This window comes from Homo sapiens, chromosome 7 (genome assembly GCF_000001405.40).
Source record: "Homo sapiens chromosome 7, GRCh38.p14 Primary Assembly".
Taxonomy (NCBI): Eukaryota; Metazoa; Chordata; class Mammalia; order Primates; family Hominidae; genus Homo; species Homo sapiens.
The window spans coordinates 75,304,232-75,318,088 of NC_000007.14; the positions used below are offsets into that span (position 1 = coordinate 75,304,232).

At 48.4% G+C, this 13,857-nt stretch overlaps 1 protein-coding gene across 4 annotated transcripts in view; it reads left to right on the forward strand.

The window, feature by feature from the left end:
• Positions 1–13,198, forward strand: part of SPDYE14 (speedy/RINGO cell cycle regulator family member E14) — an 80,225-nt gene extending 67,027 nt beyond the window's left edge. For 2 of the 4 annotated variants that reach the window (NM_001382494.2, NM_001382495.2), the window contains exons 3-9: positions 4,487–5,069; positions 6,065–6,283; positions 7,316–7,374; positions 8,602–8,687; positions 10,393–10,636; positions 10,759–10,863; positions 11,717–13,185. In NM_001382494.2, the coding sequence (NP_001369423.1) occupies positions 4,940–5,069; positions 6,065–6,283; positions 7,316–7,374; positions 8,602–8,687; positions 10,393–10,636; positions 10,759–10,818 (798 nt within the window). In that variant the 5' untranslated portion in view covers positions 4,487–4,939 and the 3' untranslated portion in view covers positions 10,819–10,863; positions 11,717–13,185. Of the gene's footprint in view, positions 1–3,144; positions 3,267–4,486; positions 5,070–6,064; positions 6,284–7,315; positions 7,375–8,601; positions 8,688–10,392; positions 10,637–10,758 lie in introns of those variants that run through there. The other 2 variants (NM_001394940.1, XM_047420696.1) reach the window with 2 other exon arrangements.
• Positions 13,199–13,857: the final 659 nt, after the last annotated feature.

Consider the following 13,857-nt stretch of genomic DNA (forward strand, 5'->3'; position numbering starts at 1 on the left):
AGTACTTTGGGAGGCCGAGGCAGACAGATCACTTGAGGTCAGGAGTTCGAGACCAGCCTGGGCAATATGGTGAAACCCCATCTCTATCAAAAATACAAATATTAGCCCGGCATGGTGGTGGGCGCCTGTAATCCCAGCTACTTGGGAGGCTGAGGCAGGAGAATTGCTTGAACCTGGAAGGCGAAGTTTGCAGTGAGCCAAGATCATGCCACTGCACTCCAGCCTGGGTGACAGAGCGAGACTCTGTCTCGAAAAAAGAAAAAAGAAAAGAAAAGAAAAGTAAGGCACTTAGAGGGTAAGTGGCTTCACTCGGTACTAAGTAGGGGAGTGTGGATTTGAGCCAAGCTGTGGGTTCAAACCACATCAACACCTGCTATGCCTGACTGCGTCTCCACGCTGCTGGGAAGGTTGACTGAATCTGCCACTACCTCCCTGGGGTGCATGTGCTTACCAAACCATTGCATTATGTAAAAGGCGGTACTGTAGGTTTTTAGTTTTTTAATTTTTATTTTTTTGAGATAGAGTCTCACTCTGTCACCCAGGCTGGAGTGTAGTGGCATGATCTTGGCTGACTGCAATCTCTGCCTTCCGGGTTCAAGCGATTCTCTTGCCTCAGCCTCCTGAGTAGCTGGGACTACAGGCCCACACCACCACGCCTGGCTAATTTTTGTATTTTTAGTAGAGACAGGGTTTCACCATGTTGGACATCATGGTCTCGGTCTCTTGGGCTCATTATCTGCCTGCCTCGGCCTCCCGAAGTGCTGGGATTACAGGTGTGAGCCACCGTGCCTGGCCTCTAGTGACCTCATTTTAACTTGATCACCTCTGTAAAGACTCTGGTTCCAATAAGGTCACCTCTAAGGTCTGGAGGGTCATGGCTTCAATACATGAATTAGGGGTGGGGGGCACACCATGCAGCCCATAATACTAGCGTATCTGGTTATGTTAAACTTGCTATAGCCACAGTCTCGCTGACTTGGATTATGGTGCCATGGGAAGGGCCCTTAAAGATCATCTTATCTGGTTGGGCTCAATGGCTCACGCGTGTAATTCCAGCACTTTGAGAGGCCAAGGCAAGAGGATCGCTTGTGACCAAGAGTTCAAGACCAGTCTGGGCAACAGAGCAAGATGCTATATCTACTACAGGCATGCACCTGTAGTCTCAGCTACTTGGGAGGCTGAGAGAAGAGGATTGCTTGAGCCCAGGAGGCAACAGAGAGCTGATTGTACCACTGCACCCCAGCCAAGGCAACAGAGACCTTGTCTCTAAAAAACAAAAACAGGCCGGGTGCAGTGTCTTATGCCTGTATTCCCAGCACTTTGAGAGGCAGAGGCGGGTGGATCATTTGAAGTCAGGTGTTCAAGACCAGCCTGGCAAACATGACGAAACCCTAAAATACAAAAATTAGCCGGGAGTGGTGGTGGGTGCCTGTAATCTCAGCTACTCGGGAGGCTGAGGCAGGAGAATCGCTTGAACCTGGGAGGCAGAGGTTGCAGTGAGCCGAGATGGAGCCACTGCACTGCAGCCTGGGTGACAAGAGCGAAACTCTGTCTCAAAATATTAGGAAAAAAAAAGAGAGAGAGCCTCTTTTCCATCTCCCCGCCACAGAGTTGTCTTCAGTAATTTCATTCCCTTTTTTCCTGAGGATTCACTGGGTTTCTGGGTCCCAGAGGGGAAGTTCTCTTCAAGGTACAGAAACCACGACTCCGCAGAGAACCGCAGAGAACCGCAGAGATGGCAGCATGACCAGACCACGGACAGGTGTGTAGAAGCTGCTGGGCTGAAACTTGGGCTGAACTTCCGCTGCAGGTTGACTTATTCCCATCAGCACCAAAGCCGCTGGAGGGGGTCATCCACTAGCAAATGAAGTGGGGGCACGGATTGGAGGCTGTTTCAGAAGGTCCCACTGAGCCACGGACTCAAGGCCTGGCCACAGCCCTCCCAAGCGAGGCCCAGATCATATTTCACCACGCTCAGAAAACCTTGCCAGCTCATTTCAGTCCACAGTGACTTTGCTTTCTTTAGGATCTCTCTTGCACTGCCCAACTCAGAGAATTTCAAATCTGAATGGATTCCAATGATGGAGCTAAATCAGGCCTCACCTCAGTTTTTTAATTACAATCAATAGGGCTGGGTCCCAGCATCTGTGTCTTAATGTTCCTCCATGTGATCCTCATGCTGAAAGGCTGGTATTTGAAAATCCCTTTTTTTGGGGAGTGAAGGGTTTTTTTAGAGACAGGCCTCACTCTGATGCCCAGCCTGGAATGCAGTGGTGGATCACAGCTCACTGCAGCCTCGAACTCCTGGCCGCAAGAAATCCTCCCACCTTAGCCAACCAAAGTGTTGGGATTGCAGGAGTGACCACTGTGTCCAGCCAGGAAAGCCCTTCTGTTTCACTTGAATGATATTTCTGCCGCAGACCTACAGCCATTGTTGTATTAAACGGCATCATTGCAGGAAAAGAAAAGGTGAGAGGTGACTGTTTTGCTTTTTTCTGAACATATCAGACCAAACCTGGGCTGTCTGGCACTTTTTTTTTTTTTTTTTTTTTGAGTCGGAGTCTCACTCTGTCGCCCAGGCTGGAGTGTAGTGTCGTGATCTCGGCTCACTGGAACCTCCACCTTCCCGGTTCAAGTGATTCTCCTGCCTCAGCCCCACAAGTAGCTGGGATTACAGAAGTGCACTCCCACGCCCAGCTCATTGTTTCTGTATTTTTACAGAAAAACAGACAGGTTTCACCATGTTGGCCAGGCTGATCTCAACCTCCTCACCTCTGGTTATCTGTCGGCATCAGCTTCCAAAAGTGCTGGGATTACAAGTGTGAGCCGCCGCACCTGGTTTGCCCATTTTTTGACAATGTATCAACATCATCTAAGATGGGCACTGCCTCAGTGTAGTGTGTCTAGACAAGGTGGCCGGAACAGAGAGGAATATGCATACCAGGCTTAAAGACGGGTTAAATCAGAGCTTTTCATTCCACAAAAGAGCAATTTTAATGAGGTCAGAACATGGATGTTCTAATATTTGAAAGCCTGTTAACTAGGAGAGAGAGTAAAGTGATTTGTTGTAGGAGGACACACCCAGCTCTGACGGTTTAAAGCGTCATGAATGCAAATTTGAACTCCAGAAAAGCAGAGCTTCCTAACAATGGGACTTCCACAGCAATGGGATTTCCTTCCGCATTCAGTTTGTGCCTTTCCCATGAGCGAGAGACTCCTAGGAGAGCCGCAGCCCGTTAGGAAGCCATGTGGGAACTCATCCACAGGTTCTTTTTGTTTGTTTGTTTGTTTTTTTTGAGATGTAGTTTTGCTCTTGTTGCCCAGGCTGGAGTGCAATGGTGTGACCTTGGCTCACTGCAACCTCCGCCTCCCAAGTTTAAGCCATTCTGCTGTCCCCGCCTCCTGAGTGGCTGGGATTACAGGCACCCACCACCATGCCTGACTAATTTTTTGTATTTTTAGAAGAGATGGGGTTTCACCATGTTGGCCAGGCTGCTCTTAAACTCCTGACCTCAAGCGATCCACCTGCTATGGCCTCCCAAAGCGCTGGGATTACAGGCGTGAGCCACTGTGCCTGGCCGGAACCCACAGGTTCTTTGGATGGTCTCTGAATGTCATGAAACTCTTTTATATTTAATTAAAAAATTTTTTTTGACACAAGGTCTTGCTGTGTTGCCCAGACTGGAGTGCGGTGTCACGATCACAGCTCACTGCAGCCCCTAACTCCTAGGCTCAAGCAATCCTCCTGCCACCTCAGTCTCTCAAGTTGTTGGAACACAGGTGCCAGCCACGACACCTGGCTAATTTTGTTTTGTTTTGTTTTGTTTTGTTTTAGAGATGGGCTCTTGCTATGTTGCCTATACTGGTCTTGAACTGCTGGCCTCAGGCAGTCTTCCTCCCTTGGCCACCCAAAGAGATGGGATTACAAGCATGAGCCACTGTGCACAGCTGAGATTTTTCGACTTAGTCTTTTTGTACACCCAGTATCTTATAGAATATCCGTAATATAGATTCATAAATAAACCATTTCCTTCAATGGTATAAATAAATAAACCACTGCTATAAATGGTGGAATTTTCTGAGTTAAGAGCAATACATATGATACAAAACTTGATATATAGAGTTTCTTAGCCAAACTGGAGGGGCTGGCTTTAGGTGATCCGTGGACTCCCTGAAATTGGGGACACCATTGGAAATATGTGTGAACTCATGGGCAGTTTCCTATGATTTCCAGTCCTCAAAGTATCTCTTGGACTCAAAGATGCCTTAGGGCAGAGGACGCGTGTACCCCCAGTACAGAATCTCGGACAGTGAATGTCAGTAGACATTCGGCAGAAAACCTCTGCCAAATTGAGTGCTCTGATGTGACTTTTTCATCAAGTCAATGTTCCTGGGATCTCTTGTACATGATAATCTCACTCTTGTAAGGTTTCATCGTTTCTGCTTACCCTACTTTTCTTTCCCATCCTGATCCCTCTCCCACCAGACTGGACTCTGAAACGGGCATGTACAGAGAAGAGGAGACCCCAACACGCTTCAAGCTTTGAGTGGAGAGGACACAGCCTCTGCTGGGACAGGGAACAGAGGGATGCGGAGACCCTGAAGATGCTTTTGGACAGTGGTCTGAGGTTGGGACAGTGGCAGGAGATACCATTCACCCAGGATCTCCAGGACAAGAGATCAGCCTGGCAGTTACATGTGTTTTTTTTCAAACTGGTTGCCAGGTTGGCATGAGCGATGACATCAGAGATTCCGACCTTCCTGATTGGAGGGACCGGACTCTGTCGGCACCTGGGAGTTCAGTTGGACAACAGTAACTTCTCAGAGCTGTTCTCCACTCCTGACTTCTCCCAGCCTCGAGAATTGATAACACACTCTTCTGGATCCCAGCAGTGTCCAGAAGAAGACCAAGGACAGAACAGAGACTAGGTTTGGTGAGATGGGACAGATTTTGGGAAAGATCATGATGAGCCATCAACCGCAGCCCCAGGAAGAGCGGAGCCCCCAGCGGAGCACCTCAGGGTACCCCCTCCAGGAGGTGGTGGATGATGAAGTGTTGGGACCATCAGGTGAGGGGACTGGAGAAAGAAGAGGTGGCATAGGATTGACTAAGATGAAGGAAGGGGGCCAGGCGTGGTGGCTCACCCCTGTAACCCCAACACTTTGGGAGGCTGAGGCGGGCAGATCACCTGAGGTCAGGAGTTCAAGACCAGCCTGGCCAACATGGTGAAACCCCATCTCTACTAAAAGTACAAAAATTAGCCAGGCGGTAGTGGTGTGTGCCTATAATCCCAGCTACTTGGGAGGCTAAGACAGGAGAATCACTTGAGCCTGGGAGGAAGAGGTTGCAGTGAGCCGAGATCGTGCTACTGCACTCCAGTCTGGGTGACAGAGTGAGATGCTATCTCAAAAAAAAAAAAGAAGAAAAAAAAAAAAAGAAGAAAAAAAAGAAGGGTCAGAGGTCAGGAAGGAGAACCTGGGGAGGGTGTGTGGGAAGAATGGAGAAATTCAGGCTGGGTGCAGTGGCTCACACTTGTAATCCCAGCACTTTGGGAAGCCAAGGCAGGCGGATCACTTGAGGCCAGGAGTTTGAGACCAGCCTGGCCAACATGGTGAAACCCTGTCTCTATTAAAAGTACAAAATGGAGCTGGGCATTATGGCAGGCACCTGTAATCCCAGCTACCTGAGAGGCTGAGGCAGGAGAATAACTGGAATCCGGGAGATGCATGTTGCAGTGAGCTGAGATTGCACCACTACACTCCAGCCTGGGTGACAAAGCAAGATTCTGTCTCGAAACAAAAAAAAAAAAAAAAAAAGAGGGACTCAGAGAGCCAGGGACCAGGGAAGGATATGAGGCAGTGTTCTGAGGACAGAGAGAGGGAAGAATGGGGAGGGGAAGGAGTGGCACATGGGGTTGAGCAGAGGAGAAAGTCAGAAAGGTGGCTTGGAGAAGCCAGCAGTCTGCGAGGCTGGGGAGGATGGAGAGTGGTTTGGGGTTTGGGGTCGGGGTCTAACGTGATCAGTTGCAGAAGCATTACACGGTGGCCTGGTTTCTTTACTCAGCCCCTGGGGTAGATCCCAGCCCCCCACGTAGGTCCCTTGGCTGGAAAAGGAAGAGGGAATGTTTGGATGAATCTGATGATGAGCCAGAGAAGGAGCTCGCCCCTGAGCCTGAGGAGACCTGGGTGGCGGAGACGCTGTGTGGCCTCAAGATGAAGGCGAAGCGACGGCGAGTGTCGCTCGTGCTCCCTGAGTACTACGAGGCCTTCAACAGGCTGCTTGGTAGGAGGACACCCCAGAGAGCACCTCCAATCCTGTTCTTTCTAAAGAGGAAACTTCCAATAACCACACTTTTCCAATGGGAAAAATATGCCCCAGTGGGTGAGCTCTCCATGCGGGAGGACTCTGAAGTGATCACTCATGAGGGACACTTAGGAGACAACAGAGGATTAGGTAGACTTGATAAAGGTCGGTGCTTGGGATAAGAAAGCTTGGTTTTGGGCCAGGCGCTGTGGCTCCCGCCTGAGATCCCAGCACGTTGGGAGGCTGAGGCAAGAGGATTGCTTGAACTCAGGACTTTGAGGCTGCAGTGAGCTATGACTGCACCACTGCACTCCAGCCTGGGTGACAGAGCAAAACTCTGCGTCAAAAGAAAAACCAAGGCTGGGCACAGTAGCTCATCCCTGTAGTTCCAGCTACTCGGGAGGCTGAGACAGGAGAACTGCTTAAACCCAGGAGGCAGAGGTTGCAGTGAGCCAAGATCAGGCCAATGCATTCCAGCCTGGCCCACAGAGCAAGACTCTGTCTCAAAATAAATTAATAAATAAATAAAAATAAAAATCAAATAAAGAAAAACAAAATCAAAAATCAAAAAAGTGGTTTCAGCTGTGCCCTCTGAAACTTAATGTTTCTTACTGACTTTTCTAAACCTAAGTGTTTCCATCCATAGTGAGGGATACCAAGGCCATGGTCACACCCTGATGTGTGACTGTCTCATGAGGAAATGATGGGAATTCCTTTATGACTCTGCAGTGGTCCCTCCGTGTCTGCTGGAGGGGGTCCTGGCTGATTCCCAGCTCTACATCCTGTAGATTCTCACACCCAGGGCCTCCTTCGGCCTCTTCTCAGGGGAGTCTCAGAGCAGGAGCCTCTCTCCCTTGCCCAGTGAAAGTCATTCTCCCCTCTCTCATCCACCTCACCCGCGGCCACAATCCTGAGACTTTCCCCCGGGAGGCACACTTCTCCTCGCTGCCCTGCTGCTCTCACGGAAACCCTGTCCTGCTTCTCACACTGACATCTGCTCTCTAATCACAGAGGATCCTGTCATTAAAAGACTCCTGGCCTGGGACAAAGATCTGAGGGTGTCGGACAAGGTAAGGTTGTTCTCTATGTAACTGTGTTCCTGTTCTAACGCACGGCCAGGGGGAGGGCGCAGCTTCCAAACCCACAGTTCTCCGTCCACCACCTCCCACCAGATGCTCCTACAGTTTTTTTTTGTTTTTGTTTTTGTTTTTTTTTGTGAGACACAGTCTTGCTCTGCTGCCCAGGCTGGAGGGCAGTGTCTCGATCTTGACTCACTGCAGCTGATGCCTCCTGGGTTCAAGCGATTCTCCCACCTCAGCCTCCAAGCAGCTGGGATTACAAACATGAACCACCACGCCTGGCTAATTTTTGTGTTTTTAGTAGAGACGGGGTTTTGCCATGTTGGCCAGATTGGTCCCGAACACCTGACCTCAGGTGATCCACCCGCCTTGGCCTCCCAAAGTGCTGAGATTACAGACGTCAGCACTGTGTCTGACCAGCTCCCATGGTCTTGAGTCTTGGCACCCACACATTTTTTTTTCTGAGACAGAATCCAGCTCTGCTCCCCAGGATGGAGTACAGTGGCATGATCATAGCTCACTCTAATTCCTGGGCTCAAGCAATCCTCTTTCCTTAGCCTCCTGAGGAGCTGGGACTAGGCACATGCTACCATGCTCAACTAATTTTTGAAATCTTCTTAGAAACAGGGTCTCGCTGTGTTGCCCAGGTTGTTCTCCAACTGTTGGGCTCACATGATCCTCCTGTCTCCACCTCTCAAAAAGTACTGGGATCACAGGCTTGAGCTGCCACTCCCGGCTATTCTTTGTCTTTTTATGATTTGTCAGCATCTCCGTCAGGATTCTGCTGGTCTCTTGCAGAGTGAATGAGTGGCCCCTGCCTCTCCTATGGGTCCTTTGGGATCTGAGCCCTGGGCCACAGTCTGGCTGCAGCCCTGAAGCTCCTGGGCCCTCTACTCTCAGCTCCTTGGGACAGTTCTCTGCCTGGCACACAAAAGACCCTCCTGACACCAGCCGACCTAGACACACCCCCTCCAAAGATCCCATCGGAGCCCACCATCCTGGGAGCATCACCAAAAACCCTTCCTCCGGCTTCTCGGATTTGCATCCGACCTTCGAATACCCCTCCACCCCGCAATTTCCACATGAGCACAGTCACCCCAACACTGAGGTCCCTTCTCTGATGGGCAACCCCTCCCCAGACCCCCATTCCACTATATCCACAATCTTCCTCTCCCAAGATGTGACCTCTCCCTCTCTGTGTTCCTTTCTCTCCATCAGTATCTCCTGGCTATGGTCATAGCGTATTTCAGCCGGGCCGGCCTCCCCTCCTGGCAATACCAACGCATTCATTTCTTCCTGGCTCTGTGAGTGGTTTGCTGCCTCCTATCCGTCAATATCCAATGCCCTGGGACAGCGGGGGAAGTGGGATTCCAGCCTTTCATTTATTCTTTCACCTATTTGTCCTCTTTACTCTGTGTACAAAAAAGACAGGATTATAGTCTCAAAAAAAAAAAAAAAAAAAGAACAAAAAACAAAAGGAACCATGAACCGCTCCTAAGGGGAGAAGAAAAGGAGCGGAGGAGCGGACATGACACTTCCCCCAGCAAGCAGACGTTTCCGGTTGTTCTCTCTCCTTCCCACATCAACCGCAAAAGCCATCAGCCTCCTCCGGGTTCCCGTGACAGAGGTCACAGTCCAGGTCCCCCTTGCATCACTCGAATCCACTGTCAAATGCTCCCTGCTGGGGTTTCCTGGAGTCTCTCCCCAAGCCAGGGGGCTTCCTAGTGCAGCCTGAACATCTTTCCAAAGCACGACAACCTCACTGCCCACCTGAACAACTTCCTTAGCTGATGTCTTTCTCTATCGAGGCCAGGGTCCACAGTGCCAATTCCACCCTCTCTACAATCTCTACAACCACACTGGCTCGCCATCTTGGTGTTTCCTGGCTTGGCTTCACTGCTCCTTCCAAATGCCCTCCACTTGACTTTGCATTTGTGTTTTCTGTCTGGGTGTCCCGCACACATGTGGTTCTGAAGGGAAGGACCCATTCCTTGAAGTCGGTTCACCCCACAGCCTCTGTGATGCCTTCCCTCGTCTTCCAACTTCTGCATGCCCGTAGCTCTCCAGTTACATCCTATTATAATGTGACATTGGGATTAGGTCATCTCCCCTGATTACTCCCAGTCCCATTAGACTAGATGCCTGTAGAAGGCAGGGTCCTGGCAAAATATCAGTGTATTCAATTGCTTTTTTTTTTTTTTGAGACAGACTTGCCCTGTCCCCTAAGCTGGAGTGCAGTGGTGAGATCATAGCTCACCGCAGCCTCCATATCCTGGGCTCAAGCGATCCTCCCACCTCAGCCTCTTGATTAGCTCCGACTACAGGGCTGTACCACCACACCTGGACAGTTATTTATTTATTTATTTATTTATCAAGACAAGAGTGTTGCTGTGTCTCTCAGGCTGGAATGGAGGGGCCCAATCTTGGCTCACTGCAACCTCCGCCTCCTGGGTTCACACAATTCTTATGCTTCAGCCTCCTGAGTAGCTAGGACTAATGGGTGTGCCACCGCACCAGGCTGATTTTTGTATTTTTAGTATAGATGGGGTTTCTCTGTGTTGACCAGGCTGGTCTCAAACTCCTGGTCTCAAGCAATCCACCTGCTTCAGCCTTCCAAAGCGCTGGGATTACAGGCATGAGCCACCACGTCTGGCGTATTTTTTATATTTTTAATAGAGACGAGGGTCTTGCTATGTTGCCCAGGCCTGTCTCAAACTCCTGGCCTCAAGTGATCCTCCTGCTTCGGCCTCCCAGTGTGCTGGGATTCCAGGCATAAGCCACCACTCTTGGTCACCAGTTGGGTTTTTGTCTCCATCCTGAAGGAGTGGGAGACGCCCTTGATCAGGTCTCTGTCCAGCAGAGCCCTCCTGAGGAAGGCGTGGCTCTCTGCAGGGTGGGTGCCAGTCCTGAGCTAGGGACGGTCCCTTACCTTCCTCTCTGAGAAGCTGACCTCAGCCGGAGGTCTCTCCTGGTGGTGCCCCTGAGCAGCAACCTGATTTCTGTCCTCAGCTATCTGGCCAATGACATGGAGGAGGACGACGAGGCCCCCAAACAAAACATCTTCTACTTCCTGTACGAGGAGACCCGCTCTCATATACCCTTGCTCAGTGAGCTTTGGTTCCAGTTATGCCGTTACATGAACCCGAGGGCCAGGAAGAACTGCTCTCAGATAGCCTTGTTCCGGAAGTATCGGTTCCACTTCTTTTGTTCCATGCGCTGCAGGGCTTGGGTTTCCCTGGAGGAGTTGGAAGAGGTGGGTGGGGCCTGGGGACGTGGAGGATGTGGGGAGGAATCGGGTGGGCTGGAGGCTGGACGAGGGGAGAGAGGGGTATCCTGGGGAGTCCCCGTCTTCTCAAAGCGCGTTTGTTTTTCCAGATCCAGGCTTATGACCCAGAGCACTGGGTGTGGGCGCGAGATCGCGCCCACCTTTCCTAGAGCTCCAGGGACCGTGGAGGCCTGAGGTCATCGGCCTGAGAGAAGGTACATCTGCATCCTCCGGGGTAAAGGCAGAATATTGGGGTCTATTTCGGAAATCCAAGGAACCCAATTGCTTGATCTGGCTTCAAGCCTGGGCAACGTGGCGAGATCCCCTCTCCACAAAAATACAAAAATTAGCCAGGCGATGTGGGAGGCATCTCTACTCCCAACTACTCAGGAGGCTGAGGCGGGAGGATCGCTGGAGCCTGGGAGGTCGGGGCTGCAGGGAGCCCTGATCCTGCCACTGCACTCCAGCCCGGGCGACAGAGTGAGACCCTGCCTCAAAAATAATCATAAATACTGAGTTCGGGGAGGTTCATTATGATTGATGCACTTGAGTTACCGATTTGGGTCGAGGGTTCAGTGAAGCTTTGGTTTACATCTTGTGCAGCTAACCATGTTGAGCACAGAGCATGAGACTTCGTCATGAGGAGGGAGGATTATGGATTAGGCTTCTGGACTCGTGGTTCGTGATGTTGTCACGTTAGAAACAGATCTAGCACGGTTACAAGTTTAGATCTGAAGTGACACAAAAGGCCCCAGCTGTGATGAAGTCCAAAGCCACATTCTCTGAGGGTGCCCTACTCCCTGGGAAGACCCACCCAAAGTCCTGGCTATGAAGCAGATCACTGGGGCTGACCTTGGGTGTATTAAGTTTTGGAGTCAGGGTCACCAAAGTGTGAGTTTCACAGTTGAACACGATGGTTCAGAAGCAGGGTATAGAATGAAAGGCAGGAGATAAAATTGCACTTCTCAATTGCTCTGAACTCTAGCTAGACTTGACATGGGACGTGAATAACCTTCCTGTCTAGAGAGCTGCCTCCTTCAAGTGTGACATTGTCTCTCTCACTTCCAGAACACCGGACCCAGGGGAGATGTGGATTTTCAGCAGGAACTTTATTCCAATGCTAATGGCAGACATCAGGAAGGAGGAGAGGAACCATTTGTGCAGATCATCTAGAAGAACCTGGACCATTCTTGACAGAGCTGAATACAGTGATCACGTTGTCCTCCAAGGAGCAGGGGTGGGGTGGGGTACTTCTAGGAGTCCTTGGAGAAAAGTAAGAAACCAGGAGTGTTTCCAGTTCCACCCTTTCCTGCGGCACCACCTCCCTTTTTATATTGCTGAATGCCAACCTCCCTGGGGCGGAACCTGGAGGTCCTGTTTCTTATGGACTTGGTTGCCACAGTCCAGGAGCATTTGAAGGCACAGTGCAGGGGCTCAGATTGGCACAGAATTCTTTGTGAAATATGAGTGCCACAGACTGTAACAGATAGCTTCATGCACACTATGCATTTTATTGGTTTGTTTGGAAAATGTTGGCCATTGAATTATTAATAGGTTTATTTCAAATAGTTTGGAAATTGTTGTACTTTTGAAAACATGCTGTTCCTGTAGAGTTTTTTGATGAGAGTTATAGTTGTTATATATACCTAAAGATAATTTTCTTTTCATTTTTAAGTGAGAATTCTTTTTATCCTAAATCTTTTATTATCTTTAATTTTTTTTCTGTATTATTATATGTGCTCCTGAAGCGAGCACTCTTTTTATCTATGATACTTCCATAATAATCTCTTCTATTTATAGCTATTGGTAGTTCCCCACCAGAAAAAAACATAATTCTGGTGATAGAAATTTTTATTTGCTGTTTAGGTTTGTGACTGACTTGTGAGAATTCAGTTGTGATTTTTAACATGTCTCAGATATATATACTAACACGTCTAATATATACTATCTATTTTATTGGTTTATTTTGAAAAACATGGGTATAGAATTATTTAAATATTATTTTATTTACTGAAATATTTATTAAATATATTTATTTATTTAAATATTATTATTACTTTAAATATTATTTTAAATATTTTGGAAATACTGGTATTTTTGAATAGATGCTGTTTCTATAAAGCTGTGTGATGGGTATTATAACTGTTGTATACACATACATATAATTTTGTTTTCCTTTTTAAGAGAGGATTCTTTTCATCCTAAATCTTTTACCTTTCAATCTTTGTATCTATTATTACACGTGCTGCTGAAGGGAGCATGGTTTTTATCTATGATACTTAGTTAACATATATATTACATTTATAGCTATGTGGTAGTTCCCCTAAATTCTTGTAAAAATAAATTTTTATTTGATATTTAGTGTATGTTTGAAATGTGAGAATTCAGATGGAATTTTTTATCTTGTTTTGGCATGTTTGTATGTTACTTTAAAGAGGATGTGTGTTCTAAAGGAGGACATGAGCTGTGTGTTTTCAAGAGAACAGTGCAGTGCATCTCTTGGGGAAACATAATAAAGATGAACTTTTCTCACCTTCACAGTGAGTGTGATCATATTGTGGTCTGGATTGATTATTTGCTGTCAAGTGACATTTTTCCTTAATGGGGTTGTGGTTATTTGAACATATTTATTAGCTTTGGAAGATAATCCTGTGCTGTTTTTTATGTAGAAAAAAACATACGGCTGGGTGCAGTGCTCACACCTACAATCCCAGCAGTTTTGGAGGTCATGGCGGGAGGATCACTTGAAGCCTATTTTTAATTTTTATTTTTTAAAGAAAAACAACAGAAGAGAAGGCTGATCCCAAGCTACAGGGTTTTTTTGTTTGTTTGTTTGTTTGTTTGTTTTGGAGACAGTCTCGCTCTGTCTCCCAGGCTGGAGTGCAGTGGCACAACCTCGGCTCCCTGCAACTTTCACCTCCGCGTTCAAGCAAATTCTCCTGCCTCAGCCTCCCAAGTAGCTGGGACTACAGGCATCCGCCTGTACGTCTGACTAACTTTTGTAAAAATAGTAGAGACAAGGTTTCACCATGTTGGCCAGGCTGGTCTCAAACTCCTGACCTCAAGTGATCCACCCGCCTCAGTCTCCCAAAGTGCTGGGATTATAGGCATGAGCTACTGTGCCCAGACCCCAAGCTAGAGTTTTAAAGCAGGAAATGAGAGAAAGATATTGAGAGAGGAAAACCAGGTGGTAAGAAAACTCTAAAGGT